At 53.4% G+C, this 25,538-nt stretch overlaps 1 protein-coding gene across 10 annotated transcripts in view, besides 7 other annotated features; it reads left to right on the top strand.

Annotated features, from left to right (window-relative positions):
* Nucleotides 12,138-12,297: a silencer, noted in NCBI's record as "silent region_10106". NCBI's record gives its function as "represses an Ori minimal core promoter by ATAC-STARR-seq in GM12878 lymphoblastoid cells {active_cell/tissue: GM12878}" and the evidence as "EXISTENCE:reporter gene assay evidence [ECO:0000049][PMID:35858748]".
* The window catches only part of DOCK6 (dedicator of cytokinesis 6), a 63,230-nt gene continuing 49,913 nt past the window's right edge, over nt 12,222-25,538 (top strand). For 6 of the 10 annotated variants that reach the window (XM_011528152.2, XM_011528151.2, XM_011528150.2 and 3 more), the window contains exons 1-6: nt 12,222-12,349; nt 21,020-21,107; nt 21,788-21,963; nt 22,196-22,264; nt 22,498-22,660; nt 23,660-23,872. In XM_011528152.2, the coding sequence (XP_011526454.1) occupies nt 12,306-12,349; nt 21,020-21,107; nt 21,788-21,963; nt 22,196-22,264; nt 22,498-22,660; nt 23,660-23,872 (753 nt within the window). In that variant the 5' untranslated portion in view covers nt 12,222-12,305. The remainder of the gene's footprint in view (nt 12,350-21,019; nt 21,108-21,787; nt 21,964-22,195; nt 22,265-22,497; nt 22,661-23,659; nt 23,873-25,538) is intronic. The other 4 variants (NM_020812.4, XM_047439124.1, NM_001367830.1 and 1 more) reach the window with 1 other exon arrangement.
* Nucleotides 12,368-12,427: a silencer, noted in NCBI's record as "silent region_10105". NCBI's record gives its function as "represses an Ori minimal core promoter by ATAC-STARR-seq in GM12878 lymphoblastoid cells {active_cell/tissue: GM12878}" and the evidence as "EXISTENCE:reporter gene assay evidence [ECO:0000049][PMID:35858748]".
* Nucleotides 12,508-12,647: a silencer, noted in NCBI's record as "silent region_10104". NCBI's record gives its function as "represses an Ori minimal core promoter by ATAC-STARR-seq in GM12878 lymphoblastoid cells {active_cell/tissue: GM12878}" and the evidence as "EXISTENCE:reporter gene assay evidence [ECO:0000049][PMID:35858748]".
* Nucleotides 17,888-18,044: a silencer, noted in NCBI's record as "fragment chr19:11367378-11367534 (GRCh37/hg19 assembly coordinates)". NCBI's record gives its function as "represses an EF-1alpha promoter that drives an FKBP-Casp9 reporter gene in an ReSE screen in K562 erythroleukemia cells {active_cell/tissue: K562}" and the evidence as "EXISTENCE:reporter gene assay evidence [ECO:0000049][PMID:32094911]".
* Nucleotides 18,439-18,733: a silencer, noted in NCBI's record as "tiled region #11176; HepG2 Repressive DNase matched - State 9:DNaseU, and K562 Repressive non-DNase unmatched - State 23:Low". NCBI's record gives its function as "represses a minimal TATA promoter and a strong SV40 promoter by Sharpr-MPRA in HepG2 and K562 cells {active_cell/tissue: HepG2 | K562}" and the evidence as "EXISTENCE:reporter gene assay evidence [ECO:0000049][PMID:27701403]".
* Nucleotides 20,061-21,029: an enhancer, noted in NCBI's record as "H3K27ac-H3K4me1 hESC enhancer chr19:11364393-11365361 (GRCh37/hg19 assembly coordinates)". NCBI's record gives its function as "activates a minimal SCP1, AML or CMV promoter by ChIP-STARR-seq in naive and primed H9 embryonic stem cells {active_cell/tissue: H9 hESC(naive and primed)}" and the evidence as "EXISTENCE:reporter gene assay evidence [ECO:0000049][PMID:30033119]".
* Nucleotides 21,030-21,998: an enhancer, noted in NCBI's record as "H3K27ac-H3K4me1 hESC enhancer chr19:11363424-11364392 (GRCh37/hg19 assembly coordinates)". NCBI's record gives its function as "activates a minimal SCP1, AML or CMV promoter by ChIP-STARR-seq in naive H9 embryonic stem cells {active_cell/tissue: H9 hESC(naive)}" and the evidence as "EXISTENCE:reporter gene assay evidence [ECO:0000049][PMID:30033119]".

Genomic DNA, 25,538 nt, shown 5'->3' with positions numbered 1-25,538 from the left:
TTGAACTCTCAGCCTCAAGTGATCCTCACACTTTGGTCTCCCAAGTACCCATGCCCAGCTCATGTACAGGTTTTTTTGCTTGTTTGTTGAGACAGAGTCTTGCTCTGTCACCCAGGCTGGAGTGCAGTGGCACCATCTCAGCTCACTACAACCTCCGCCTCTCGGGTTCAAGCTATTCTTGTGCCTCAGCCTCCTGAGTAGCTAGGACTACAGGCACCCACCACCATGCCCAGCTAATTTTTCTATTGTTAGTAGAGACAGGGTTTCACCATGTTGGCCAGGCTGGTCTCGAACTCCTGGTCTCAAGAGATCCACCCACTGCAGCCTCCCAAAGTGTTGGGATTACAGGTGTGAGCCACCACTCCTGACCGTATACAGGTTTTTATGTCAATATCCATTTTCATTTCTCTTAGGTCACTACCCAAGAGTGGGTTTGCTGGGTCATACAGGGCTTGCATGGTAAGCATTTTAAGAACCACCATTTTCCAAAGCAGCTGCACCATTTTGCATCCCCACCAGCAGCGTATGAGGGTCCAGTTTCCCTGAATCCTCCTCAGCACTTGGTGGTGTTGGTATTTTTCATTGTAGCCATTCTAACAGGTGTGAGCAACCGTCTATTAAAGCTGGTGTTGTGAGCTGAGGTGCAGGATTTGAACTCAAGTGTCTGGGTGTCTAACTACTGCGTGATGTCACCTCCTTTTCTTTGCAGAGCTACTGGGCTAAGAAAATGTGGTCCATAGGCTGGGCGCAGTGGCTTGCACCTGTAATCCCAGCACTTTGGGAGGCCGAGGCGGGCAGATTACCTGAAGTCAGGAGTTGGAGACCAGCCTGGCCAACATGGTGAAACCCCGTCACTACTAAAAATACAAAAATTAACCGGGAGTGGTGGCACATGCCTGTAATCCCAGCTACCTGGGAGGCTGAGGCAGGAGAATTGCTTGAGCCCAGGAGATGGAGGTTGCAGTGAGCCAAGATCATGCCATTGCACTCCAGCCTGGCTGATGGGGCAAGACTCTGTCAAGAAAAGAAAGAGAGAAAGAAAGAAAGAGAAAGAAAGAAAGAAAGAGAGAGAGGGAGGGAGGGAGGGAAGGAAGGAAGGAAGGAAGAAAGAAAGAAAAGAAGGACAGAAGGAAAGAAGGAAGGAAGGAAGGAAGGAAAATGTGGTCCATCTAAAAGACAGAGCTTTATCAAAGTCATTGCCACCTGCTCTGAAAGGTTGTGCTAAGAAGGAAATACAGGCCAGGCACAGTGACTCACACCTGTAATCTCAGCACTTCAGGAGGCTGAGGCGGGCAGATCACATGGTCAAGAGATCGAGATCATCCTGGCCAACATGGTGAAACTCTGTCTCAAAAAAATAAATAAATAAATAAAATAACCTCCATCTTTTGGTGGCCCCTTTACTGGCCTTATTTCACTCAATTGTTAGGACACCTTGTCTCTGTGAGATGGGGCCTGCAAGGCCCATTCACCAGATAAAAAATCTTGGACCCCACAGGACTTGGGCTTCCCAGCTGGCAAGTGACAAAATTAAGATTTGAACACAGAGCTAGACTTTGCACCAAGACTATTTCCTTCTTCTTATTTATTTATTTTTTTGAGATGGAGTCTTGCTCTGTTGCCCAGGCTGGAGTGCAGTGGTACAATCTCAGCTCACTGCAACCTCTGCCTCCTGGGCTCAGGCCATCCTCCTACCTCAGCCTCCCGAGTAGCTGGGACTACAGGCATGTGCCACCACACCCAGCTACCTGTTGTGTTTTGGTTTTTTGTTTTGGTTTGTTTGAGAGACAGAGTCTCCCTCTGTCACCAGGCTGGAGTGCAGTGGCGCGATCTCAGCTCACTGCAACCTCCGCCTCCTGAGTTCAAGCGATTCTCCTGCCTTAGCTTCCTGTGTAGCTGTGACTACATGCATACACCACCACGCCCAGCTAATTTTTGTATTTTTAGTAGAGACGGGGTTTCTCCACGTTGGTCAGGCTGGTCTCAAACTCGCTACCTCAGGTGATGCATCCGCCTCGGCCTCCCAAAGTGCTGGGATTACAGGCATGAGCCGCCACACGCAACCTGGGTGGAGGTTATTAAGGGGGAAAGGGGCTGGGCAAGGTGACTCATGCCTGTAATCTCAGCCCTTTGGGAGACCAAGGTGAGAGGATTGCTTGACCTCAGGAGTTGGAGACCAGCCTGGGTAACATAGCAAGACCTTATCTCTACTACCAATTTTAAAAATTAACTGGGTGTGGCCAGGTGTAGTGAGTGGCTCATGCCTGTAAAGCCCAGCACTTTGGGAGGGCAAGGCAGGTGGATCACTTGAGGTCAGGAGTTTGAGACCAGCCTGGCCAACATGGTGAAACCCCGTCTCTACTAAAAATACAAAATTAGCCAGGTGTGGTGGCAGGCGCCTGTAATCCTAGCTAATCGGGAGGCTGAGGCAGGAGAATCGCTTGAACCCAGAAGGCGGATGTTGCAGTGAGCCGAGATCGCACCACTGCACTCCAGCCCAGGCAACAAGAGCAAAACTCCATCTCAAAAAAAAGAGAAAAAAAAAAAAAAAAGCCAGGCGTGGTGGCTCACACCTGTAATCCCAGCACTTTGGGAGGCCGAGGCAGGCAGATCACAAGGTCAGGAAATTGAGACCATCCTGGCTAACACGGTGAAACCCCATCTCTACTAAAAATACAAAAAATTAGCCGGGCATAGTGGTGGGCGCCTGTAGTCCCAGCTACTCGGGAGGCTGAGGCAGGAGAATGGCGTGAACCCAGGAGGCAGAGCTTGCAGTGAGCAGAGATGGCACCACTGCACTCCAACCTGGGAGACAGAGCGATACTCCGTCTCAAAAAAAAAAAAAAATTAGCTGGGTGTGGTGGCACACACCTATAGTCCCAGCTACTTGGGAGGCTGAGGTGGGAGGATCATCTGAGCCCAGGAGATGGAGGCTGCAGTGAGTTTATGATTGTGCCACTCTGCGCTCCAACCTGGGCAACAGAGCGAGACCTTGTCTAAAAAAAAAAAAAGTGGGCCAGGCGTGGTGGCTCATGCCTGTAATCCCAGCACTTTGGGAGGCCAAGGTGGGCAGATCATCTGAGGTCAGGAGTTCGAGACCAGCCTGACCAAAATGGCAAAACCCCATCTCTAATAAAAATACAAAAAAATTAGCCAGGCGTGGTGGTATGTGCCTGTAATCACAGCTACTAGGGAGGCTGAGGCAGGAGAATCGCTGGAACCAGGAAGCGGGATTGTAGTGAGCCAAGATCGCGCCATTGCACTCCAGCCTGGGTGACAGAGCAAGACTCTGTATCAAAGAAAAAAAAAAAAAAAAGGTCAGGATTGCCCAGGGCCTATGGGAAGGGAGAGATGAATTGGCAGATTTTTAGCACAACGAATATGATACTGTGCACTGTGAATATGATACTGTGCACTGTGAATATGATACTGTATGATACTATAATACCAGATACAAGACATATGCACCTTGGCCAGGCACAGTGGCTCATGCCTGTAACCCCAGCACTTTGGGAGGCAGAGGCAGGCAGATTACCTGAGGTCAGGAATTCGAGACCAGTCTGGCCAACATGGCAAAACCCCGTCTCTGCTAAAAATACAAATTAGCTGGGCGTGGTGGCACATGCCTCTAGTCCCAGCTACTCGGGAGGCTGAGGCAGGAGAACAGCTTGAACCCGGGACATAGAGGTTGCAGTGATCCGAGATCGCGCCACCACACTCCAGCTTGGGTGACAGAGCAAGACACCATCTCAAAAAAAAAAAAAAAAAAAAAAAAGCCGGGTGCGGTGGCTCACACCTGTAATCCCAGCACTTTGGGAGGCTGAGGTGGGTGGATCACGAGGTCAGGAGATCGAGATCCTCCTGGCTAACGCAGTGAAACCCCGTCTATACTAAAAATACAAAAAAAAAATTTGCCGGGCATGGTGGCGGGCACCTGTTGTCCCAGCTACCTGGGAGGCTGAGGCAGGAGAAGGGCGTGAACCCGGGAGGCAGAGGTTGCAGTGAGCTGAGATCGCGCCTCTGTACTCCAGCCTGGGCCACAGAGCAAGACTCCGTCCCAAAAAATATATATATATAGCTGGGAACGGTGGCTCATGCCTGTAATCTCAGCACTTTGGGAGGCCAAGGCGGGCAGATCACTTGAGGTCAGGAGTTTGAGACTAGCCTGGTCAATATGGCAAAACCCCGTCTCTACTAAAAATACAAAATTTGGCTGGGTGCGATGGCTCACACCTGTAATCCCAGCACTTTGAGAGACTGAGATGGGCAGATCACCTGAGGTCAGGAGTTCAAGACCAGTCTGGCCAACATGGTGAAACCATGTCTCTTTTTTTTTTTGAGGTGGAGTCTCGCTCTGTCGCCCAGACTGGAGTGCAGTGGCGCAATCTCGGCTCACTGCAAGCTCCGCCTCCTGGGTTCACGCCATTCTCCTGCCTCAGCTTCCCGAGTAGCTGGGACTACAGGCGCCCGCCACCACGCCCAGCTAATTTTTTTGTATTTTTAGTAGAGACGGGGTTTCACCATGTTGGCCAGGACGGTCTCGATCTCCTGACCTCTTGATCCACCGGCCTTGGCCTCCCAAAGTGCTGGGATTACAGGCGTGAGCCACCGCGCCCGGCCGAAACCGTGTCTCTACTAAAAATACAAAAAATTAGCCAGGCGTGGTGGTGTGCACCTGTAGTCCCAGCTACTAGGGAGGCTGAGGCAGGAGAATGTCTTGAACCTGGGAGGCAGAGGTTGTAGTGAGCCGAGGTCCTGCCATTTGCACTCTAGCCTGGGTGACAAAGCGAGGGTCTGTCTCAAAACAAACAAAAAAAAATTAGCTGGGCGTGGTGGCAGGTGCTTGTAATCCCAGCTACTCGGGAGGCTGAGGCAGGAGAATCTCTTGAACCCAGGAAGCAGAGGTTGCAGTGAGCCAAGATCGCGCCATTGCACTCCAGCCTGCGCGACAGAGCGAAACTCCATCTCAAAAAAAAAAACATATGCACTTGCCAAAAACCAGTAGGATGTACAACAGGAACAGTGCATCGGAATGTAAACTATATGAATAATGATGTATCAAGATTGGGTCATCAATTATAACAAATGTTCAGCAGGATGCAAGTTGTTAATAGGGGAAACTGCTCTGGGCGGGGGTGGAAACTCTCCTCTGTCTGCTGTATCTTCTGTCATTTACACGACTCTAAGCAATAAATCTGTCAGTTAAAAAACAAAGCATCCCTCCTGCTCGTCCTCCAGTCCCACCAGTTTCTTGGAAGTCTGAAGAGAATGTCTGGAAAACCAAGGAAATACAGATATATACATTTTTCCAAATATTTTACACAAAAGTGGCCTCAGCCAGGTGTAGTGGCTCATGCCTGTAATCCCAACACTTTGGGAAGCTGAGGTGGGAGAATCGCGTGAGGCCAGGAGTCGGAGACCAGGCTGGGTAACATAGTGAGACACCATCTCTAAAAATAAAGTATTTTAAAAAGAAGCAAGTTCCTTGGACAATGCACACATGTCCGGACAGACAAGCATCTGGTGGCTGGGCCATCTGTTCAAAGAAAAACAGGAAGCCTGTGTCCTGCCCCTCTGACCTGTCTAGGCCCAGCTTTTGTCTTTGTAACTTAAACTCCCAAAGGCAGGCCTGGACACCCTGTGTTGGCTTCTGGCTTCCTTCCCCGGCTCCGGAAACAGCAGAAAAAACAATCCAACACGTCAGTGTCTCCCTTGGTTTTGTGCTCTCCTGACGCCACCTCACTGGCCCCGTGCCAGTGGAGCACTGAGGTTGCTGCGCCCACTTTGTAGATGAGGAAACTGAGGCCCAGAGAGGTCCAGGTCACGCAGTCCAGCTGTGTGGCCAAGCCAGAACTCCAATCCACGTCTCTCGGGACTCCAAATCCTGCTCATTCCTGTTCCTACTCTGAGCTCACCACTGACTGCAAGACACCCATTCATTCACTCAAGTAATTCACCAATTGCCGAAATGCATCTGAAAAACCACAGGAGAGAGTTCCCTGAAGTTGACAGACGTGGGTTCGAGTCCTACGACTCCAGTGTTATGTGATTTTTTTTTTTTTTTTTGAGACGGAATCTTGGTTTGTCGCTCAGGCTGAAGTGAGGGCAGTGGCGCAATCTCAGCTCACTGCAGCCTCTGCCTCCCAGATTCAAGCCATTCTCCTGCCTCAGCCTCCCGAGTAGCTGGGACTATAGGCGCACACCACCACACCCAGCTAATTTTGTATTTTTAGTAGAGAAGGGGTTTCAACATGTTGGCCAGGTTGGTTTTGAACTCCTGACCTCAAGTGATCCGTCCACCTCAGCCTCCCAAAGTGCTGGGATTACAGGCGTGAGCCACCGTGCCTGGCACACCAGTGTTGTATGATTTGAGGCTGGTGACTGCTCCTCTCTCAGCCTCAGTTTCCTGCACCTGTAGGATGGTGACCCGGGATGATGATTCCACCTCCCGGGGTGAGTCGGCGCCTGCAGATGGTAGATGCTCCGCGGATGCCTGTTGCATGGATGTGCCTTGCATGCTCTTGCTCCTCAATTCTCCACGTAGCAGCAGGGTCCTCTGCCTATGGGCAGGATGGGGCAAGTGTCCTAGGCTGGCTGGGCCCACCATTTTCACCACAGGCACCAGGGGCCAGTGGGCAGCCTCACTCAACCTCCCTCTTCACCATCACCCCCGACACCTCTCAGTTTGGGAGGCCCAGGCAGACTCCCTCTCCACAAGGAAGCTATCTCCCTGCTGTGGGACTGGTTGCTCTTGCCACACTGATGGTATCAATAGCGGACACCAGGGGACAGAGAGGCACTGAGGTCCTCTGGCCAGTGAGGCCCTGTACTACTCTGGCTCACTCATTCTCTTACTGAGCACCTATAGTATGCACAGCTGCGTCCTGGGTGTTGGGGATACAGCAGTGAATAAGGCAGAGAGGCCAGGAACGGTGGTGGCTCACGCCTGCAATCCCAGCACTTTGGGAGGCTGAGGTGGGAGGATCGCTTGAGTACACGAGTTGGAGATTGCAGTAAGCTATGATCATGTCATGGCACTCCAGCCTGTTTGACAGAGCAAGACCCTGTCTCCAAAAAAAAGCCTGGGCAACGTAGTGAGACCCCATCTCTACAAACAATTTAAAAACTAGCTGGGCATGGTGGCATTCACCTGTGGTCCCAGGAGGGGACCACAGCTACTCAGGAGGCTGAGGCAGGAGGATTGCCTGAGCTCAGGAGATCAAGATTGCAGTGAGCTATGATTGCATCACTACACTCCAGCCTGGGCGACAGAGCAAGACCCTGTCATGGAAAGAAGGAAAAAAGAAAAAGAAAAATTTCTGTCCTCATGGAGCTGACATTGGAATGGGAGGAGCAGACACCACAGAACCAGACAGTTATTCTGAGGGTGATCAGGACTGCGATGGGGAGACCCAGGGGCTGGAGGGGACGGGAGCCCAGAGGAGCCCTTGACCCAGCTTCCACAGGGGAGAGAGGTGGTCACGGAAGGCTTGCAAGAGGCATCAGACCTGAAGAATGAATAGAAGTTTGTTTAGGTGGCAGGGCGCAGTGGCTCACACCTGTAATCCCAGCACTTTGGGAGGCCGAGGCGGGCGGATCAGCTGAGGTCAGGAGTTCAAGACCAGCCTGACCAACATGGAGAAACCCCATCTCTACTAAAAATGCAAAATTAGTCGAGCGTGGTGTCGCATGCCTGTAATCCCAGCTACTTGGGAGGCTGAGGCAGGAGAATTGCTTGAACCTGGGAGGCGGAGGTTGCAGTGAGCCGAGATCATGCCATTGCACTCCAGCCTGGGCAACAGGAGCAAAACTCTGTCTCCAAAAAAAAAAAGTCTGTTAAGGTAAGGAGTCCGGGAACCATGTTCTGGGCAGAGGGGATGGCCTGTGCAAAGGTCTGGAGGCAGCTGCACCCAGCACAGAAAGATACAGAAGCATATTATGATGCTACAGTGATTCCAACAGCGAGGTCGGGGACAAGCTCTGAGCAGCAGATCAGGAAAACAAAAGAGGGCACGTCTGTAATCCCAGCACTGTGGGAGGCCAAGTTGGCAGCATCTCTTGAGGCCAAGAGTTTGAGACCAGCCTAGGCAACATAGTGAGACCCCTGTCTCTACAAAAAAAATCAGAAAAATTAGCTGGCCATAGTGGTGCATGCCTGTAGTCCCAGAGTTGGGGACTGAGGTATGAAGGTTGCTTGAGCCTGGGAGGAGGAGGCTGCAGTGAGCCATATTGGAGCCACTGCACTCCAGCCTGGACAACAGAGTGAGACCCTGTCTCAAAAAAAAAAAAAAAAAAAAAGAGCAAAACCAAAAAGTCAGTATTTATGGAGCTCCTACTAAATGTCAGGTGCTGGGAACCCCACAGAGAAAGGTAACCCAGCAACTGGGGCGTGACTGGGGCCTCCATGGCGGAGGCAGCGGGCAAAGGCAGGGATGTCCAAGCTGAGATATAAGGGACAAAGAAGGGTGCAGGCAGACGAGGAGTGGATGGAACAGCATTCCACGTGGAGGGAGCAGCATTAGGCAGCAGCGTGGGTGAAGGAGACGGTTTTTGACTCCTCTCTTACTCTAACTTGCAGATGGACTCACTGTCCAGCCACCAGTGAGCCATCTGCTCAGAGCCCACCGACTTCTCACCTCCCCTGTATCCTCACCCCATCCAGGCCTATCATCCCTAACCTGGACCAGTACAGCCCCTCCTCCCTGGTCCACCAGCTCCAGCCTCATGTCCGCAACGTGTTCTCCACGCAGTAGAGCAGAGGAGGCCAAAGTCCCCGCCACCACGCTCAGCCTCTGTTTGATCAGCTGTCAGGGGCACCCCAGCCACACCCAGCTGAGTCAGGGCTGGTGGTGCTCTGGAGAGAAATAGCCTCACCAGTCAGGTCTGGCAGGCACTGGGGCGGGTACTGTGCTCGAGGCATCTGGGGTAGGGCCTTTGATTGGAGCAATCTCTGAAGCAGCGTTTCCACCAAGGCAGGACATGGAGTCGCTGAGCTCAAAACCCCCTTGGGCTTCGACAGGGAATGGGCCCTGACAAGGCCCTGAAGTTTGCTGCTCCATGGCTCAACCTACCTCCTGATGTCTGGGTCTCAAGCTGTGACCAACCACGAACTCTCAGGGAGCAAACAAGGAAACTGGGGCTCAGAGAAGTTGAGCAATTTATCCTGGGTCACACAGCCAGGTCTGATGGAGACCCAGTGAGACTTTAGAGACAACCGCTTTGGGATCAGGCTCCCTGGAGTCAAATCTTGGATCTGACACTGATTCACTAGGCTACATTAGGGCGAGTCCCCTCTCTGGGTGTTCTTCAGTTTCCTTATCTGTAAAAGGGGGCTACTGGCAACGCCCATATGTGGGAAAGGGAACAGAACATGCAAAGGTCCTTGAGTGGAGCTGTGTCCTGGTGTTTAGAGAAGCATCCAGGAGGCAGGGGCAGCTGGAGTGGAGTGAATGAGGGAAAGAAAAGGAAGAGGCAAGCCAGGGAGGTGACAGGGTTGATCATGCTGGGCCTTGTGGGTTGTGGGAGGACTTTGGTTTTGTTTGTTGGTTGTTTTGTTGTTGTTGTTGTTTTGAGACAGGGTCTCACTCTCGCCCAGGCTAGAGTGCAGTGGCGCAATCTCAGCTCACTACAACCTCCACCTCCTGGGTTCAGACGATCCTCATGCCTCAGCCTCCCGAGTAGCTGGGATTCAGGCTCCCACCACCATGCCCGGCTATTTTTTGTATTTTTAGTAGAGACGGGGTTTTGCCATGTTGGCCAGGCTGGTCTGGAGCTCCTGACCTCAAGTGATCCACCCGCCTCGGCCTCCCAAAGTGCCAGGATGACAGGGAGCCACTGTGCCCGGCGGGTTGTGGGAGGACTTTGGCTTTTACCCTGAGTGAGGTGGGAGCCATGGAAGGTTCTGAACAGAGGAGGGAACTGAAGTGATGCAGGTGTTCCCAGGCTCTTCCTGGCCACTGATGCAGGAACAAGCTGGGGGGAGGATGAGAAAGGAAGCTGGGAGACCGGATATAAAGGGGGCTGGACTGGAACTAGGCTAAGAAATGTGCAAATCTTCGCTCATCTGCATATTTCCTGCCCAGCCTAGCTCCCAGCAGCCTGAGAGGCAAGGCGGGGACACTTGGTGGGGCATGGCGGGGAGTGATGGGCGGAGCTCCACCTGGCCAAAGTGGCTGGACCACTCCGGGCAGGCACGTGGGCTGTGTGCACATGTCACATGCCAGGCTGTGAGCAGCCCTACTGCGGCCTGACTAGCAGGATGCTATCCTGCGTCTGACTGGCAGGGTTTGGGGGTTCCCCTACAATCCAGGCCTCTTTCCTGTGGGTTCAAGGTCTGACATGGATTCATTGGGCAGCAAGGCAAGAAACTGTGTCTCGGGGGTGCATGGTGACTCAGGGTGGGCATGTGGCTCATTCCTGTAATCCCGGCACTTTGGGAGGCCGAGGCGGGTGGATCACCTGAGGTCAGGAGCTCCAGACCAGCCTGGCCAACATGGTGAAACCCCGTCTCTACTAAAAATACAAAAAATTAGCCAGGTGTGATGGTGGGTGCCTGTAATCCCAGCTACTCGGGAGGCTGAGGCAGGAGAATCGCTTGAACCTGGGAGGCAGAGGTTGCGGTGAGCCGAGATTGTGCCATTGCACTCCAGTCTGGGCAACAAGAGCGAAATGCCACCTCAAAATAAATAAATAAATAAATAAATAAATAAATAAATAAATAAATAAATAATAGAGGATAAAATGCCAGCAACCCATAGATGGGAATGAGAACAGCACGTGCAAAGGCCCTGAGGCAGAGCCACGGCCTTGTCTGATTCAACCTCAAATTCTCCCTGGGGCATTTGCTGACCAGGGAAAGAAGGGCTGTCCAGGAGGAAGGACCTGCCGGTGCAGAGGCATGCAGGTGAGAAAGGGGTGAGCTCCTCCAGAGGGGAGTGTCGGCTGGAGAATTCTCTAAAAATGCTGCAGCAGTGCTGGGAGAGAGGCCAGTGGGGAGAGATTTGAGACCATAGATTAACCAAGACATCCCCACCTCTTCCTCTTGGTAGAGGCGGCCCCGAAAGTCTAGACTCCCAAACTGGCTCACTCAGGTCCCACCACCTGGACCTGGGGCACATCTCCGAGCACTCCAGTGCCTAGCCAGGCTCCTCTGACTCCCATGCTGTAGACTGGGAGCACGGACAATGCAGGCGCTGGAGACCCCTGTGAGTCACACTGAGCAAGCACCCGAACACCTCTGTGCCTCAGTTTACTCATCTGTAAAAGGAGGAAAACAATAATTTCTTCTGCATGTGTGAATTGCAGGGCCAGGCTCAATGACATCTTAGCAATTAGACTTTTTGAGACAGGGTCTCGCTCTGTCACCCAGGCTGGATTGAAATGGCACAATCACAGCTCACTGCAGCCTTGACCTCCCAGGCTCAAGCGATCCTCCTCCCTCAGACTCCCAAGTAGCTGAGATTACAGGCACACACCACCATGCCTGGTTAATTTTTGCATTTTTTGTGGACACGGGGTCTCATTATGTTGCCCAGGCTGGTCTCCAACTCCTGGGCTCAAACAATCCTCCTGCCTTGGCCCCCCACAGTGCTGGGATTACAGGCATGAGCCACCATGCACGGCCACGATTATACTTACAGGTATGATTATTAGATACATGAACATCGTTATTGTTTTCCAGCCAGGAGTCAGAGGGCAGAAAGAGCGCCCCCCAAACCCCGGAAATCTGGGGCCTACCCAGCCTGGGTCCCAGCGCCTCCCCTCCCTCCCTCCCTCCTGAGCTTCAGTTTCCCCAGCCCTGCTCCTGGGGTGGTAAGACCACCCCACTAAACCCCGGGAGCCTGGGGTCCACCTAGCCCGGGTCTCAGCGCCTCCCTTCCCTCCCTCCCTCCTCAGGCTCAGTTTCTCCAGCCCAGCTCCCAGGGTGGAAAGAGCGCCCCCGCCAGCTCGGGAGTCTGGGGCACCCCCAGTCTGGGTCCCAGCGCCTCCTCTCCCTAACTTCCCTCCTCAGCCTCAGTTTCCCCAGCCCTTCTCCTAGGGTAGAAAGAGCGTCCCCCCAGCCCGGGAGTCTGGGGCCCGCCCAGCCTGGATCCCGGGGCCTCCTCTCCGTCCCCAGCCTCAGTTTCCCCAGCCCCCAGGACTCCAGGCGACCCCTCCGGCCTGCAGGGGCAGCACGGAGCGGCCCGGGCCACCCGGAAGGGCCCCGCCCCCGCGCCGGCCCCGCCCCGCCCCGGCTGCCCAGAACCGGGAGGCGGCGGCGGCGGCGGGGCCGGGGCCCGGGGCGGCGGCGGCGGGACGCGAGGACCATGGCTGCCTCCGAGCGCCGCGCCTTCGCGCACAAGATCAACAGGTAGTGTGGCCGCGGGGCCCCCTCCCACCTCCCCCACGTGGCCCGGCTCCGCCCCGGGGCGGTGCGACCCTCCCCGCCCGGGCGCCCCCAATTCAACCCCTTTCCGCCTCGGCCCGGGTCCCGCCAGCTTCCTCCGGCCGGGGCTGGGAGCGGGAGAAGGCGGGGAGGGCCGCGGGGGTCCCGGCGGGGGTCCCAGATGGGAGTCGCGTCGGGGCTGGGAGCGCGATGGCGGCTGCCGTTCTGCCTCCGTGACGCGCGGGGGTGTGTCCGGAGGGCTTCCCGGAGGAGGTGGCGTGGGGATGCGGATGACGGGCGCCCCCTGAACTCCCTGCGCTCCCCGTCCGCCTCTCGGCCCCTCACTGTCCCCGCGCTCTCGGAGATCGGGGTGGGCCGGACTTTCTGTTCCTTCCTCAGTGCCTGGTTTGGGGCAGGGAGGCTCCAGGCTCTGAGATTTGGGGACAGAGATGGGCTCCTTGGTGGCGTTTGAAACCCCTCGAGGAGTTTCCCGTGCCCTTCCCCCTCCAGGGTCCAGTGCCCAGCTGTCGGGGGGGGGGAAGGGGGACAGCTGTGGACGCCCCCCCACCTTCTGCTTCAGGCTCTCCCGTCACGGGCTGGACCGCGCTGGGGATGGATGGGTGATTGAATGGAGGGAGTGGGGGCTGGGGACAGAACCAGCTGGTGGGCAGACGGGGGAGGGGACAGGCCCCAGGCGCTGGGGGATCCATTTCCGTGGCCACTGGGGATTGTGAGAGTCACAGCCTGGGAGGGGTATATCAGACTCTCTGGGGCTGAAAAGCCTCGCCCCCAGTTGGCGGGGGGTCTTTGCGACAAGGGTGCGTTCAGAAGCTCAGGTATCCTCTCCCCGGGGGACCTGTCCTGACTGCCCCCAGGTGAAAGAGCTGCCCTGTGGGTTGGGCCCTGGTCTTATGGAGACAAAAGATCCCCCTCTTGGGATATAGTGGCGGAGAGAGACCAGAAGCCTGATCGAGTAGATTACCTGTCAGTGACAAGTGCTGTAGGGACAAGAAGACAGGGAAGGGGGATGGGAGGGTGGGGGCTGCTTGAGATGCGGGAGGTGGGTCAGGAAGGCCTGGATGAGCAGGTGCCTTTGAGCAAAAACCTCAAGGAGATGAGAGAGGGATCGATCGAGGCCAGTTTGTGGGGGGAAAGAGTGGGAAGGGTTTGTGCAAAGGCCCTGAGGCAGGAACAGAGAGCTGGAGGGGGACAGTAAGAGTAGAATGTACAGGGTCGTGTGGGCTGTGCAAGGGACTTTGACTTTGGACCCCAGGTGAGGTGGGAGCCATGGGGAGTTCTCAGCAGAGGAGGGATGAGACTTGGTGGCTGGGGCGTAATGGCTGGGCAATTTTTATGTTCTATCATTATCTTTGTCTGTAAATTGGCTTTCAAAATGTCTTAGACCTTTGGCGTCTTTGAGGCTGCAAACATTATTGCTGTCTGTTTCTTTTTCTTTCCTTTTCTTTTTCTTTTCTTTCTTTCTTTCTTTTTTTTTTTTTGAGACAGAGTCTCGCTCTGTCACCCAAACTGGAGTGCAATGGCACAATCTTGGCTCACTGCAACCTTCGCCTCCTGGGTTCAAGCGATTCTTGTGCCTCAGCCTCCTGAGTAGCTGGGGTTACAGGCGCCCACTACCACACCCAGCTAATTTTTGTATTTTTAGTAGAGAGGGGGTTTCACCATGTTGACCAGGCTGGTCACGAACTCCTGACCTCAGGTGATCCGCCCACCTCCCAAAGTGCTGGGATTACAGGTGTGAGCCACTGCACCCAGGCTTTTTTTTTTTTTCCTTTTCTTTTTTTGAGACAGGGTCTTGCTCTGTCACCCAGACTGGAGTGCAGTGGTGATACCTTGGCTCACTGCAGTCTCAATCTCCCGGGCTCAAGTGATCCTCCTGCCTCAGCCTCCCAAGTAGCTGGGACTACAGGTGTATGCTGCAACACTCAGCTAACTTTTTAACCTTTTGTAGAAACGGGATCTCACTATCTTGCCCAGGCTGGCCTCAAACTCCTGGGCTCAAGTGATCCTCCTGCCTCGGCCTCCCAAATGCTGGGATTACAGGCGTGAGCCATTGCGCCCAGCTTGCTGTCTGTTTCTTTGCATTTTGGTCTGTATGTCCTTGGGTCCTGGTTTTTACTCAAGTGAGAAAGAGGGGTTTTGGATACTGTAGAGCTCAGGGTAAGAGTAGAGAATGATCCTGGGGCCCTAGTGAACTGTGAGGGAGTGGCCCAGGGCTTCCAGAGCAACTTCGCTCTTGGGCACCCAGGTGTCTACATACTCAGAGCTGGTCCTATATTCATCTGTTCATCCATTCAGTCATTTATTCCACAAATACCAGATTAACCCGAATATTAGACAATCTTCCAGCTACTCCAGAGGCTGAGGCAGGAGGATCACTTGAACCCAGGAGGTGGAGGTTGCAGTGAGCAGAGATCGTGCCACTGCACTCCAGCCTGGGTGACAGAGTAAGACTCTGTCTCAAAAAAAAAAAAAAAAAAAAGGCCGGGCGCGGCGGCCCAGGTCTGTAATCCCAGACTTTGGGAGGCCGAGGCAGGTGGATCACCTGAGGTCAGGAGTTCGAGACCAGCCTGGCCAACATGGTGAAACTCCGTCTCTACTAAAAATACAAAAAGTTAGCTTTTTGTAACTTTACAAATTTACAAAAGCGTGGTGACGCACGCCTGTAATCCCAGCTACTCGGGAGGCTTAGGCAGGAGAATTGCTTGAACCTGGGAGGTAGAGGTTGCAGTGAGCCGAGATCCCGCCACTGCACTCCAGCCTGAGCGACAGAGCGAGACTCCATCTCAAAAAAAAAAAAAAAAAAAGAAAAGAAATAATGATTCATTGGAGGGGTGGGAAGAAAATGAGGTATTTATTGACAAATTTCAAAATCCCAAAGTTACCACTGAAATTTCAGGTAAACATCTCTCTCTCTCTCTCTCTCTCCCCCATCCTTGAATATATTGGCAAACACAAGCACATACATATATTGTTATTTTTTACCATTTAAACAACTGTAACATACAACATTCATACCAAAAACTACAAATTTTGGGCCAGGTATGATGGCTCACACCTGTAATCCTACCACTTTGGGAGGCCAGGAGTTCAAGACCAGCCTGGGCAACATAGCGAGACCCTGTCTCTGCAAGAAACAAAATTACCCAGGTGTGATGGTGGCTCATACCTGTAGTCCCAGCTCCTGGGGAGGCTGAGATGAGAGGATTGCTGGAGCCCAGGAGGTTGAGGCTGCAGTGAGCCGTGATTGCGCCACTGCACTCCAGCCTGAGTGACAGAGTGAGACCCTGTCTCAAAAGAAAGAAAAAGAAAGTAGCCTGGGTATGGTGGCTCATGCCTATAATCCGAGCACTTTGGGAGGCTGAGGCAGGTGGATCACCTGAGGTCAGGAGTTCGGGTCTGTAGATGGTGAAACCCCATCTCTACGAAAAATATAAAAATTAGCCAGGCATGGTGGCGAGTGCCTGTAATCCCAATTACTGGGGAAGCTGAGGCAGGAGAATCACTTGAACCCGGGACGTGGAGGTTGCAGTGAGCTGAGATCACGCCACTGCACTCCAGCCTGGGTGACAGAGACTCCGTCTCAAGAAAAAAAAAAGAGAGAGAAAGAAAAGTTTAAAGAATAGTTATAGGCCGGGCGCGTTGGCTCATGCTTGTAATCCCAGCACTTTGGGAGGCTGAGGTGGGCGGATCACCTGAGGTCAGGAGTTCGAGGCCAGCTTGGCCAACATGGTGAAACCCCATCTCTACTAAAAATACAAAAATTAGCTGGGCATGGTGGTGGGTGCCTGTAATCCCAGCTACTCAGGAGGCTGAGGCAGGAGAATCGCTTGAACCCGGGCCGTGGAGGTTGCAGTGAGCTGAGATTTCACCACTGCACTCCAGCCTGGACGACAGAGACTCCATCTCAAGGAAAAAAAAAAAAGAGAGAGAGAGAGAAAGAAAAGTGCGAAGTTTAAAGAATAATTTGAAAGCAAAGGGCAAGGAAATGAGGAAATGGCCACTTGGTCAATTTCCCATGGGGACTATCTCCACCTTCCTGGCTCCCTCCCGCATGCCAGCACCCCTACCTGATCTGGCCTGTTTTAGATTGTCATATAAACTGAATCATGAGGTGTTGCATCCATGTGCCCAACTTTGTTCACTCAGCATCATGTCAGGAAGGCTCAGCTGGGCCATTGCCTGCAATCCTTTTTCATTGCTGGGTAGTATTCCCCTGCCTCATGCATTTATTTCCCTCTTTGGTCAGTGAACATGTGAGTTTCACTTTGGAGCTGTCATGATCAGAGGTGTCAACATTCTTGGCCATGTGTTTCCTTCTGAGTAATCCACACCTTGGAGTAGAATTGCTGGATTGGCATATTTTCAACCTTGCTTAATAATCACAGATGGTTTTTTCTGTGTGCGTGTGTGTGTGTACATTTGTGTTTATTAGAAATGGGGTCTCGCTATGTTGCCCAAGCTGGTCTTGAACTCCTGGCCTCATGTGATCCTCCCACCTCAGCCTCCCAAAATGCTGGGAGTATAGGCATGAGCCACAACACCTGGCTTATAGATGGATTTTTTTTTTTTCTTGAGACAGCGTTTCTTTCTGTTGCCTAGGCTGGAGTACAGTGGCGCAATCTCGGCTCACTGCAACCTCCACCTCCCGGGTTCAAGTGATTCTCTTGCCTCAGCCTCCCGAGTAACTGAGATTACCGGCATGTGCCACCATGCCTGGCTAATTTTTGTATTTTTAGTAGAGATGGGGTTTCACCATGTTGGCCAGGCTGGTGTCAAACACCTGACCTCAGATGATCTGCCCGCCTCGGCCTCCCGAAGTGCTGGGATTACAGGCATAAGCCACAGTGCCCAGCTTTTTTTTTTTTTTTTTTTTTTTTTAAGAGACAGTGTCTCTGTAGCCCAGGCTGGAGTGCACTGGTGCCATCACTGCAGCCTCAAACTCCTGGGCTCAAGCGATCCTCCCGCCTTGGCCTCCCAAAGCACTGGGATTACAGGTGCAAGCCACCATGCCTGACACTCATGGTTGCCATCTACATCTCACCTTGGTGTAAAAACAGGGTCAGAGGCCAGGCACAGTGGCTCACACCTGTAATCCCAGCACTTTAGGAGGCTGAGGCGGGAAGATCACGGAAGGTCAGGAGTTTGAGACCATACTAGGCAACATAGTGAGACCCCATTTCTACAAATAATAATAATAATAATAATAATTAGCCAAGCATGGTGGTGTGCATCAGTTGTCCCAGCTACTCAGGAGGCTGAGGCAGGAGGATTCCTTGAACCCAGGAGGTTGAGGCTGCAGTAAGCCGTGATTGCACCACTGCATTCCAGCCTGGGCGACAGTAAGACCTGTCTCAAAAAAACAGACACAAAAAAACAAAAACAGGCCGGGCTCGGTGGCTCACGCCTGTAATCCCAGGACTTTGGGAGGCTGAGGTGGGTGCATCACCAGAGGTCAGGAGTTCGAGACCATCCTGGCCAAGATGATGAAACCCCATCTCTACTAAAAATACAAAAAATTAGCCGGGCATGGTGGTGGGTGCCTGTAATCCCAGCTACTTAGGAGGCTGAGACAGGAGAATCGCTTGAACCCTGGAGGTGGAGGTTGCAGTGAGCTGAGATCATGCCACTGCGCTCTAGCCTGGGCAACAAGAGCTAAACTCTGTCTCAAAAAAATAAATAAAATTTTTTTAAAAAACGAAAACAAAAAACCAGGGTCAGAAATCCCAGCTGCCTAGGATTGTCTTTGAAGACAACATGGTGGCAGCAAGCCCTAATTGAGCACTTACTGTGTGCAAAGCCTTACACTCAGAACAGCTCAAGAAGGTGGTCAGTGGCCTGAGCCCTGAGGCTGAGAGACTGATGGTCACTCATCCAAGCTTGACGGCTCTCCGTGCAGAGTCCTGTGATGCAGTCAGCTGGCTCTGTGGCTGTGGTGTTGCAGACCCGGCGTTTTCCCACTGCAGGGGCCTCTCTCCAAGGCCAAGGGGAAAAGGAAGCTGGAGGCCCAGCCGTCCCTCCTCCCCTCTCCCTCCTCTGGAGCAGCAGCTGCAGAACAGCTGGGACCAGGGCACAGCTTTGTCCCCTGTCCCAGCATCTTTTGTAAATTATCCCCCAGCCCCTGTGTGCCCACGGTTCTGGAGGCAGCAGCCCGACTTTAGGAATTTGAAGACAAAAGCCCTAATTTTTCACATCCTTTGAATTCCCCACAAGCGCTTTTCTCAACCCCCCCAGTCAGTAGAAGCAAGACTCCAAGACTGTTAAGAGCAAAAATGGGGCCGGGCAAGGTGGCTCACACCTGTAATCCCAGCACTTTGGGAGGCCGAGACGGGCGGATCACCTGAGGTCAGGAGTTCGAGACCAGCCTGGCTAACACGGTGAAACCCTGTCTCTACTAAAAATACAAAAAATTAGCTGGGCGTAGTGGTGGGCGCCTGTAGTCCCAGCTACTCAGGAGGCTGAGGCAGGAGAATGGCGTGAACCCGGGAGGCGGAGCTTGCAGTGAGCCGAGATTGCGCCACTGCACTCCAGCGTGGGCAACAGATCGAGACTCCGTCTCAAAAAGAAAAAGAAAAAAATTTACAATTACACAGGGAATTGGGAAGCAGAAGGGAGTAAGCCCTGAAAACCCAGGCAATCAGCTTGTCTATTTTAAGAGGGACTAAGGCCCAGAGAGGGTATCCTACCTGCCCAAAGCCACACAGCCAGAAGACCTGGGGCTTCCCCTCACTCAGCAGATTTGGGCAAGTTGTAGAAGAAGACTGGAAGGGACTCACTCATTCTGTCAAAAAAAAGTACAAGGCGGGCAGATCGCTTGAGCTCAGGAGTTCGAGACCAGCCTGGGCAACATGGCAAGACCCTGTCTCTACTGAAAATAGAAAGATTAACCAGGCATGGTGGTGCACACCTGTAATCACAGCTACTTGGGAGGCTGAGGCTGAGGTGGGAGGAGGATCGCTTGAGCCTGGGAGGCGAAGGTTGCAGTGAGCCGATATCGTGCCACTACACTCCAGCCTGGGCAACAGAGCAACCCTGTCTCAAAAAAAAAAAAAAAAAGTAGGCCGGGAGCGGTGGCTCATGCCTGTAATCCCAGCACTTTGGGAGGCTGAGGCAGGTGTGTCACCTAAGGTCAGGAGTTTGAGACCAGCCTGGCCAACATTGTGAAACCCCGTCTCTGCTAAAAATACGAAAAATTAGCCAGGTGTGGTGGCACATGCCAGTAATCCCAGCTACTCAGGAGGCGGAGGCAGGAGAATCGCTTGAACCCGGGAAGCAGGTGTTGCAGTGAGCCGGGATTGTGGCCATTGCACTCCAGCCTGGGCAACAAGAGCGAAACTCCATCTCAGAAAAAAAAGGAGTGTGTGCCTAGTATGTGCAAGGCCCTCTTTGGGGGACACACAGCCCTAGCTCCTGCCTTCACAGAGACCCCAGGGAGCAGGAGTCTCCACACTCAAAGCACGGAGCCCGAACTCAGGTCCTTTGCACCTGCTGTGCCCCCTGCTGGGCACCCTCTACCCTCAGGTAACTGCATGGCTCTCTCATCCACTTCTGAGCTCAGCCAGAGGAATTGGAGGGCTGAGCCATCCCTGTCCCCACTGGCTCTGCTCCACATTCCTGCAGAGTCCCCTCTACTGCGAGTCTTGCCCCTTTACCCCCATCCTCCCTGATTTTTTTTTTTTTTCGAGACAAAGTCTTGCTCTGTTGCCCAGGTTGGGGTGCAGTGGCGCGATCTCGACTCATTGCAACCTGCGCCTCCCGGGTTCAAGCGATTCTCCTGCCTCAGCCTCTTGAGTAGCTGGGACTACAGGAGTCTGGCTAATTTTTGTACTTTTAGTAGAGGCAGGGTTTCCCCTTGTTGGCCAGGACCTTCTTGAACTTCTGACCTCAGGTGATCCGCCTGCCTCAGCCTCTCAAAGTGCTGGGATTATAGGTGTGAGCCACCATGCCTGGCCATCCTCCCTGATTTTGAAGGCCTGCTCAGATCCAGGTGGCCCAGGAAGGCCCCAGGGCCCACCTTGGTTGCTTGGGGTTACTTAGAAGGCCTCCCAGCTCTGGGCCCCGCAGGCCAGGTTGACCTCTGACACAATGGCCTCATCTCAGGATCTCTGTGACTTCAGGCCAGGCCCCAGGCTCCGCTCTGCCCAGCAGCTCTGTGAAGTCAGGGCATCAGCTACAGAAGGGTAAACTGAGGCTCAGAGGTGGAAATGACTTATCCAAAGCCCCAAAGCAAGGATGGGAAGGGATGTATGTTCTGGATGGGGTCCAGGGGCAGGGCTGGGTGTGTTGGGGAACAGCAGGATGGACAGAGGTCCCCCAGATGAGGGAGCAGAGGCCAGGGACCCGTGGGCCTCCCTCCAGACCTGGAAGGCCACAGGCCCAGCCGGGAGGGGAAGGAGAGTCCGTGATGGCTTCAGACCCCACTGGTGGCAGCATTCTCATCTCCTGATCTGTGCTTGATGGGGAACGCGTTGGGGGAACTGGGGAGCTGTGGGCCCTTAAAGCCTCAGCACTCCTGGTTCTCTTGGCCCTCGGCCTATTTATTTCGTTCCACAATCTGGATTTTCCTCATAGAAAGAATCTGTCCGCTCCGCTGCCTGAGTTTTCCCGTCCCCAATGGCCCCCTCCCTATCTTTCCAGGACGGTGGCCGCAGAGGTGCGGAAGCAGGTGTCCCGGGAACGCAGTGGCTCCCCCCACTCCAGCAGGCGCTGCAGCAGCTCCCTGGGGGTAAGTATTTGGGGGGTCCGCCCCCAGCCCTCTGCCCTCTCTCAGACAGAGGTAGGGGCTTCCTTGGCCTAGGTTCTATCCCACCCCCTCCCTCCTGTGGCCTGTCCTGGGGGGAAACCGAGAGGGACCCAGCAGTGTCGGGGGAGGGAGTGCCTGTCCTGGTCCTAGTAGTCTCACCAATTCCTGTGGCCACTCTCCCTGCCGCTGCTTGTCACCCTGTGGGTGGTCAGGGGAGTGGCTCCCTCCTGATGTCCCCCATCTCCAGCCACCTGGACCACCTAGATGGGGATGGAGGAGGGAGAAGTTGGGGAGGGGAGTGACTTTCGCCTGAGAGGGGTGGGGCCATGTTGCCCACAGGGTTGCGGAGGCTTTAGGAATTGTCTCTTGCCTGGCCTCTGTCAACATTTCTTTCCTTCCACTGTTAGTTTCTGCCCTTCCAGGCATGGGGTGTGATTTCCTTCCTGGAGCCCCTGGAGGGAGGGGCAGGGCAGGGAAAGCTGAGGTGGGGGTGGAGAGTCTGAGGTCATCATCCTCCATGGTTCCTCCGTAACTCCAACACCCTCCATGGCTCCCACCGCCCTCCTATTTGAGTTTGAAGCCAGCGCGCACCCACCCCTGCCTCGTGCCCCCACTCTCAGCCTCCTAGGTAGTGCGATCACAGCCACTTTGCTCCAATCCAGGTCCCACTGACTGAAGTTGTCGAGCCCCTGGACTTTGAGGATGTACTTCTGAGCCGGCCACCAGATGCTGAGCCCGGGCCCCTCAGGGACCTGGTAGAATTCCCAGCTGATGACTTGGAGCTGCTGCTGCAGCCCCGGGAATGCCGGACCACGGAGCCCGGGATCCCCAAGGATGAGTGGGTTCAGCCCCACGCCCTCTCTGCCTGTGATTCCACTCTGTCTCTGCCAACCCCATCAACAGCCCGACTTCAGCTCCTGGCTTGGCCGTGACGTTGGACAAGCCATGCTTTTTCTCTGAGCCTCCATCTCCCCTTGTCTGGAATAGGCAGGACAGTGCTAACCTTACAGGCTAGCAGAAGGATTCACAGAGGCCTTGTCTCTGTTTACCCTGATCTTCTTTTGCTGCAGAAAACTGGATGCCCAGGTGAGGGCCGCGGTGGAGATGTATATTGAGGACTGGGTCATTGTCCACAGAAGGTGAGTCTGACTTAGGGGCAGCTCAGGGGGTTCGGAACCCAAAAGGGCTGAGCTGATGTCTGCAGCCGGTCCTACTGTGTATCTGCCCATTGTCCCTGCAAGAGCAGGCAAACTTGTCTGGTGGAGCACAAGGACGGTGGCTTTGAAGGTGCCATGTAGGTGTGTCAGAACACACTGGGGACCCCCTGGGGGCCCTCAGCCCTCCCTACCTGCCCAGCCCCGTTTCCTGCTAGGTATCAGTACCTGAGTGCAGCATACAGCCCCGTCACCACAGACACACAGCGGGAGCGACAGAAGGGCCTCCCCCGCCAGGTCTTTGAGCAGGATGCTTCTGGAGACGAGAGGTCCGGCCCTGAGGACTCGGTGAGGAAGCCCCTGGCTGGGGTCACTGAAGGGGTATGTGTGGAGGCTCCGGCCTCAGCTTTTGGTCACATGTGACAGGAAATGACCCAAACAGCCTTGAGCTCAAAAGGAATTGCATCAGTCCCCATGAGTAAAAAGTTAGGGGTCATAATTATAAACATTTATTGAGTGCTTAGGGTGTACTGAAGGCTTCATATGTGTCCTCTGCTTTCATCCTAGGAGTCAGGGCAGCCATTACACCCAGGTAAGGAAACTGAGGCACAGCAAGGTTCTTAGAGGCCGTGAGCCTGTATTTTGTCAATCAACATTTACTGAGCACCTACTGTATACCAACCATAATTATTCCAAAGATTATTGTTGTTTTCATTATTATTATTATTTTAATTAATTAATTATTTTGAGATGGAATCTCACTCTGTCGCCCAGGCTGAAGTACAGTGGTGCAATCTCAGCTCACTGCAACCTCCACCTCCCGGATTCAAGCGATCCTCCCACCTCAGCCTCCCGGGTAGCTGGGATTACAGACATGCGCCACCATGCCGGCTAATTTTGTTATTATTTTTAGATGTACATAGGGAAACTGAGGCCCTTAGAGTTGGGGGTCAGAGACCCAGTGTCACAGAGCTGAGCTGGGATTTGATCCAGTGCAGGAAGGTCAGGAAGAACTCTCTCCTTCCCTGGCGACAGTGAACAAAGTCCCAGGGAAGGCTTTCATTGGCCCAGCCCAGGCCCTTGGAGCCAGTCCCTAGGGTGGGTAGATGTGTTTTGATTGACCAGATAAGGATCACCTAAAGCCCCAAATGTGGGATAAGGAGTAGCCTCCCCCAGCAATGGTAAAAGTTGGGAGGCTCTCCAGACAGAAGTTTCTGGAAAGAGGGTAGGCAAAACCCCCAGGTGACCCTTAGAGTGATGACCCTCACCCCCTGACCCTCAATTTCCCCATCTCTAGAATGAGTATGAGGACACTCTCACCAGAGTGAGGTGAAGGTGTATACAGCTGGCACTCAGTGCTTGCACATTCTCCACTGGCAGAATGACTCCCGGCGTGGCTCGGGCTCCCCGGAAGACACCCCTCGAAGCAGTGGTGCCTCTAGCATCTTCGACCTGAGGAACCTGGCAGCTGACTCATTGCTGCCCTCTCTGCTAGAGCGGGCGGCCCCAGAAGATGTGGACCGGCGCAATGAAACCCTTCGACGGCAGCACCGGCCCCCGGCCCTGCTCACCCTCTACCCGGCACCTGACGAGGTGGGTGCCCCTTCCCAGATATCAGCCAACCAGCATTTACTGGGTGCCTATTGTATACTTCATGTTTATTCAATAGCTTCTATAGATGGACATCTACTATATACACCTGTATTAATCCGATCAGTGTTTATTGGGCACCTACTGTATATCCTATGTTTATTCAATAGCTTCTATATGTGGACACCTACTATATACCCCTATATTTATCCAACCAGCATTTATTGGGTGCCTATTGTATACCCTATGCTTATTTAATAGCTTCTAGGCCGGGCATGGTGGCTCATGCCCGTAATCCCAGCACTTTGGGAGGCTGAGGTGGGCAGATCGCTTGAGGCCAGGAGTTCAAGACCAGCCAACATGGTGAAACCCCATCTCTACTAAAAATACAAAAGTTAGCCAGGCATGGTGGCAGGTGCTTGTAATCCTAGCTACTCAGGAGGCTGAGGCATGAGAATCGCCAGAACCCGGGAGGTGAAGGCTGCAGTGAGCCGAAATCACCGTCACTGCACTCCAGCCTGGGCAGCAGAGCAAAACTCTGTCTCAAAAAAAAAAAAGTAGCTTCTGGCTGGGCGTGGTGGCTCACACCTATAATCCCAGCACTTTGGGAGGCTGAGGCGGGTGGATCACCTGAGGTCAGGAGTTTGAGACCAGCCTGACCAACATGGTGAAACCCCATCTCTACTAAAAGTACAAAAATTAACCAGGCATGGTAGTGGGCACCTGTAATCCCAGCTACTCTGAAGGCTGAGACAGGAGAATCACTTGAACCTAGGAGGCAGAGGTTGCAGTGAGCCAAGATCGCACCACTGCATTCCAGCCTGGGCAACAGAGCGAGACTCTGTCTCAAAAAAAAAAAAGATAGCTTCTGTATATGGACACCTACTATATACCTTTATAGTTAGCTAACCAGTATTTATTGGGCACCTACTCTATCCCCTGTGTTTATTCAATAGCTTTTTTTTTTTTTTTTTTTTTGAGATGGAGTCTCGCTCTTGTCGCCCAGGCTGGACTGCAGTGGCGCTATCTCGGCTCACTGCAAGCTCCGCCTCCCGGGTTCACGCCATTCTCCTGCCTCAGCCTCCCGAGTAGCTGGGACTACAGGCGCCAGCCACCACGCCCGGCTAATTTTGTATTTTTTTTAGTAGAGACGGGGTTTGGCCATGTTGGCCAGGCTGGTCTCGAACTCCTGACCTCAGGTGATCCGCCCACCTCGGCCTCCCAAAGTGCTGGGATTACAGGCTTGAGCCACCGCGCCTGGCCTCAATAGCTTTTATATATGGACACCTACTATATACTCCTATATTTATCCAACCATCAACACCATAGGAAAGGTAAAAAAATATATAAAATAAATTTTTTTTTTTGAGACAAGTCTCGTTCTGTCACCCAGGCTGGAGTGCAGTGGCGCCATCTCAGCTCACTGCAACCTCCACCTCCCAGGTTCAAGCGATTCTTCTGCCTCAGCCTCCTGAGTAGCTGGGACTACAGGCACGTGCCACTATGCCTGGCTAATTTTTGTATTTTTAGTAGAGATAGGGTTTCACTATGTTGGCCAGGCTGGTCTCAAACTCCTGACCTTGTGATCTGCCCGCCTCAGCCTCCCAGAGTGCTGGTATTACAGGCATGAGCCACTGCGCCTGGCCAGAAAATAAATTTTTAAAAATTA

Source organism: Homo sapiens, chromosome 19 (assembly GCF_000001405.40).
Source record: "Homo sapiens chromosome 19, GRCh38.p14 Primary Assembly".
Taxonomy (NCBI): Eukaryota; Metazoa; Chordata; class Mammalia; order Primates; family Hominidae; genus Homo; species Homo sapiens.
The sequence above is the reverse complement of the archived record's forward strand: the minus strand, read 5'-3'. Positions and strand labels throughout refer to the sequence as shown.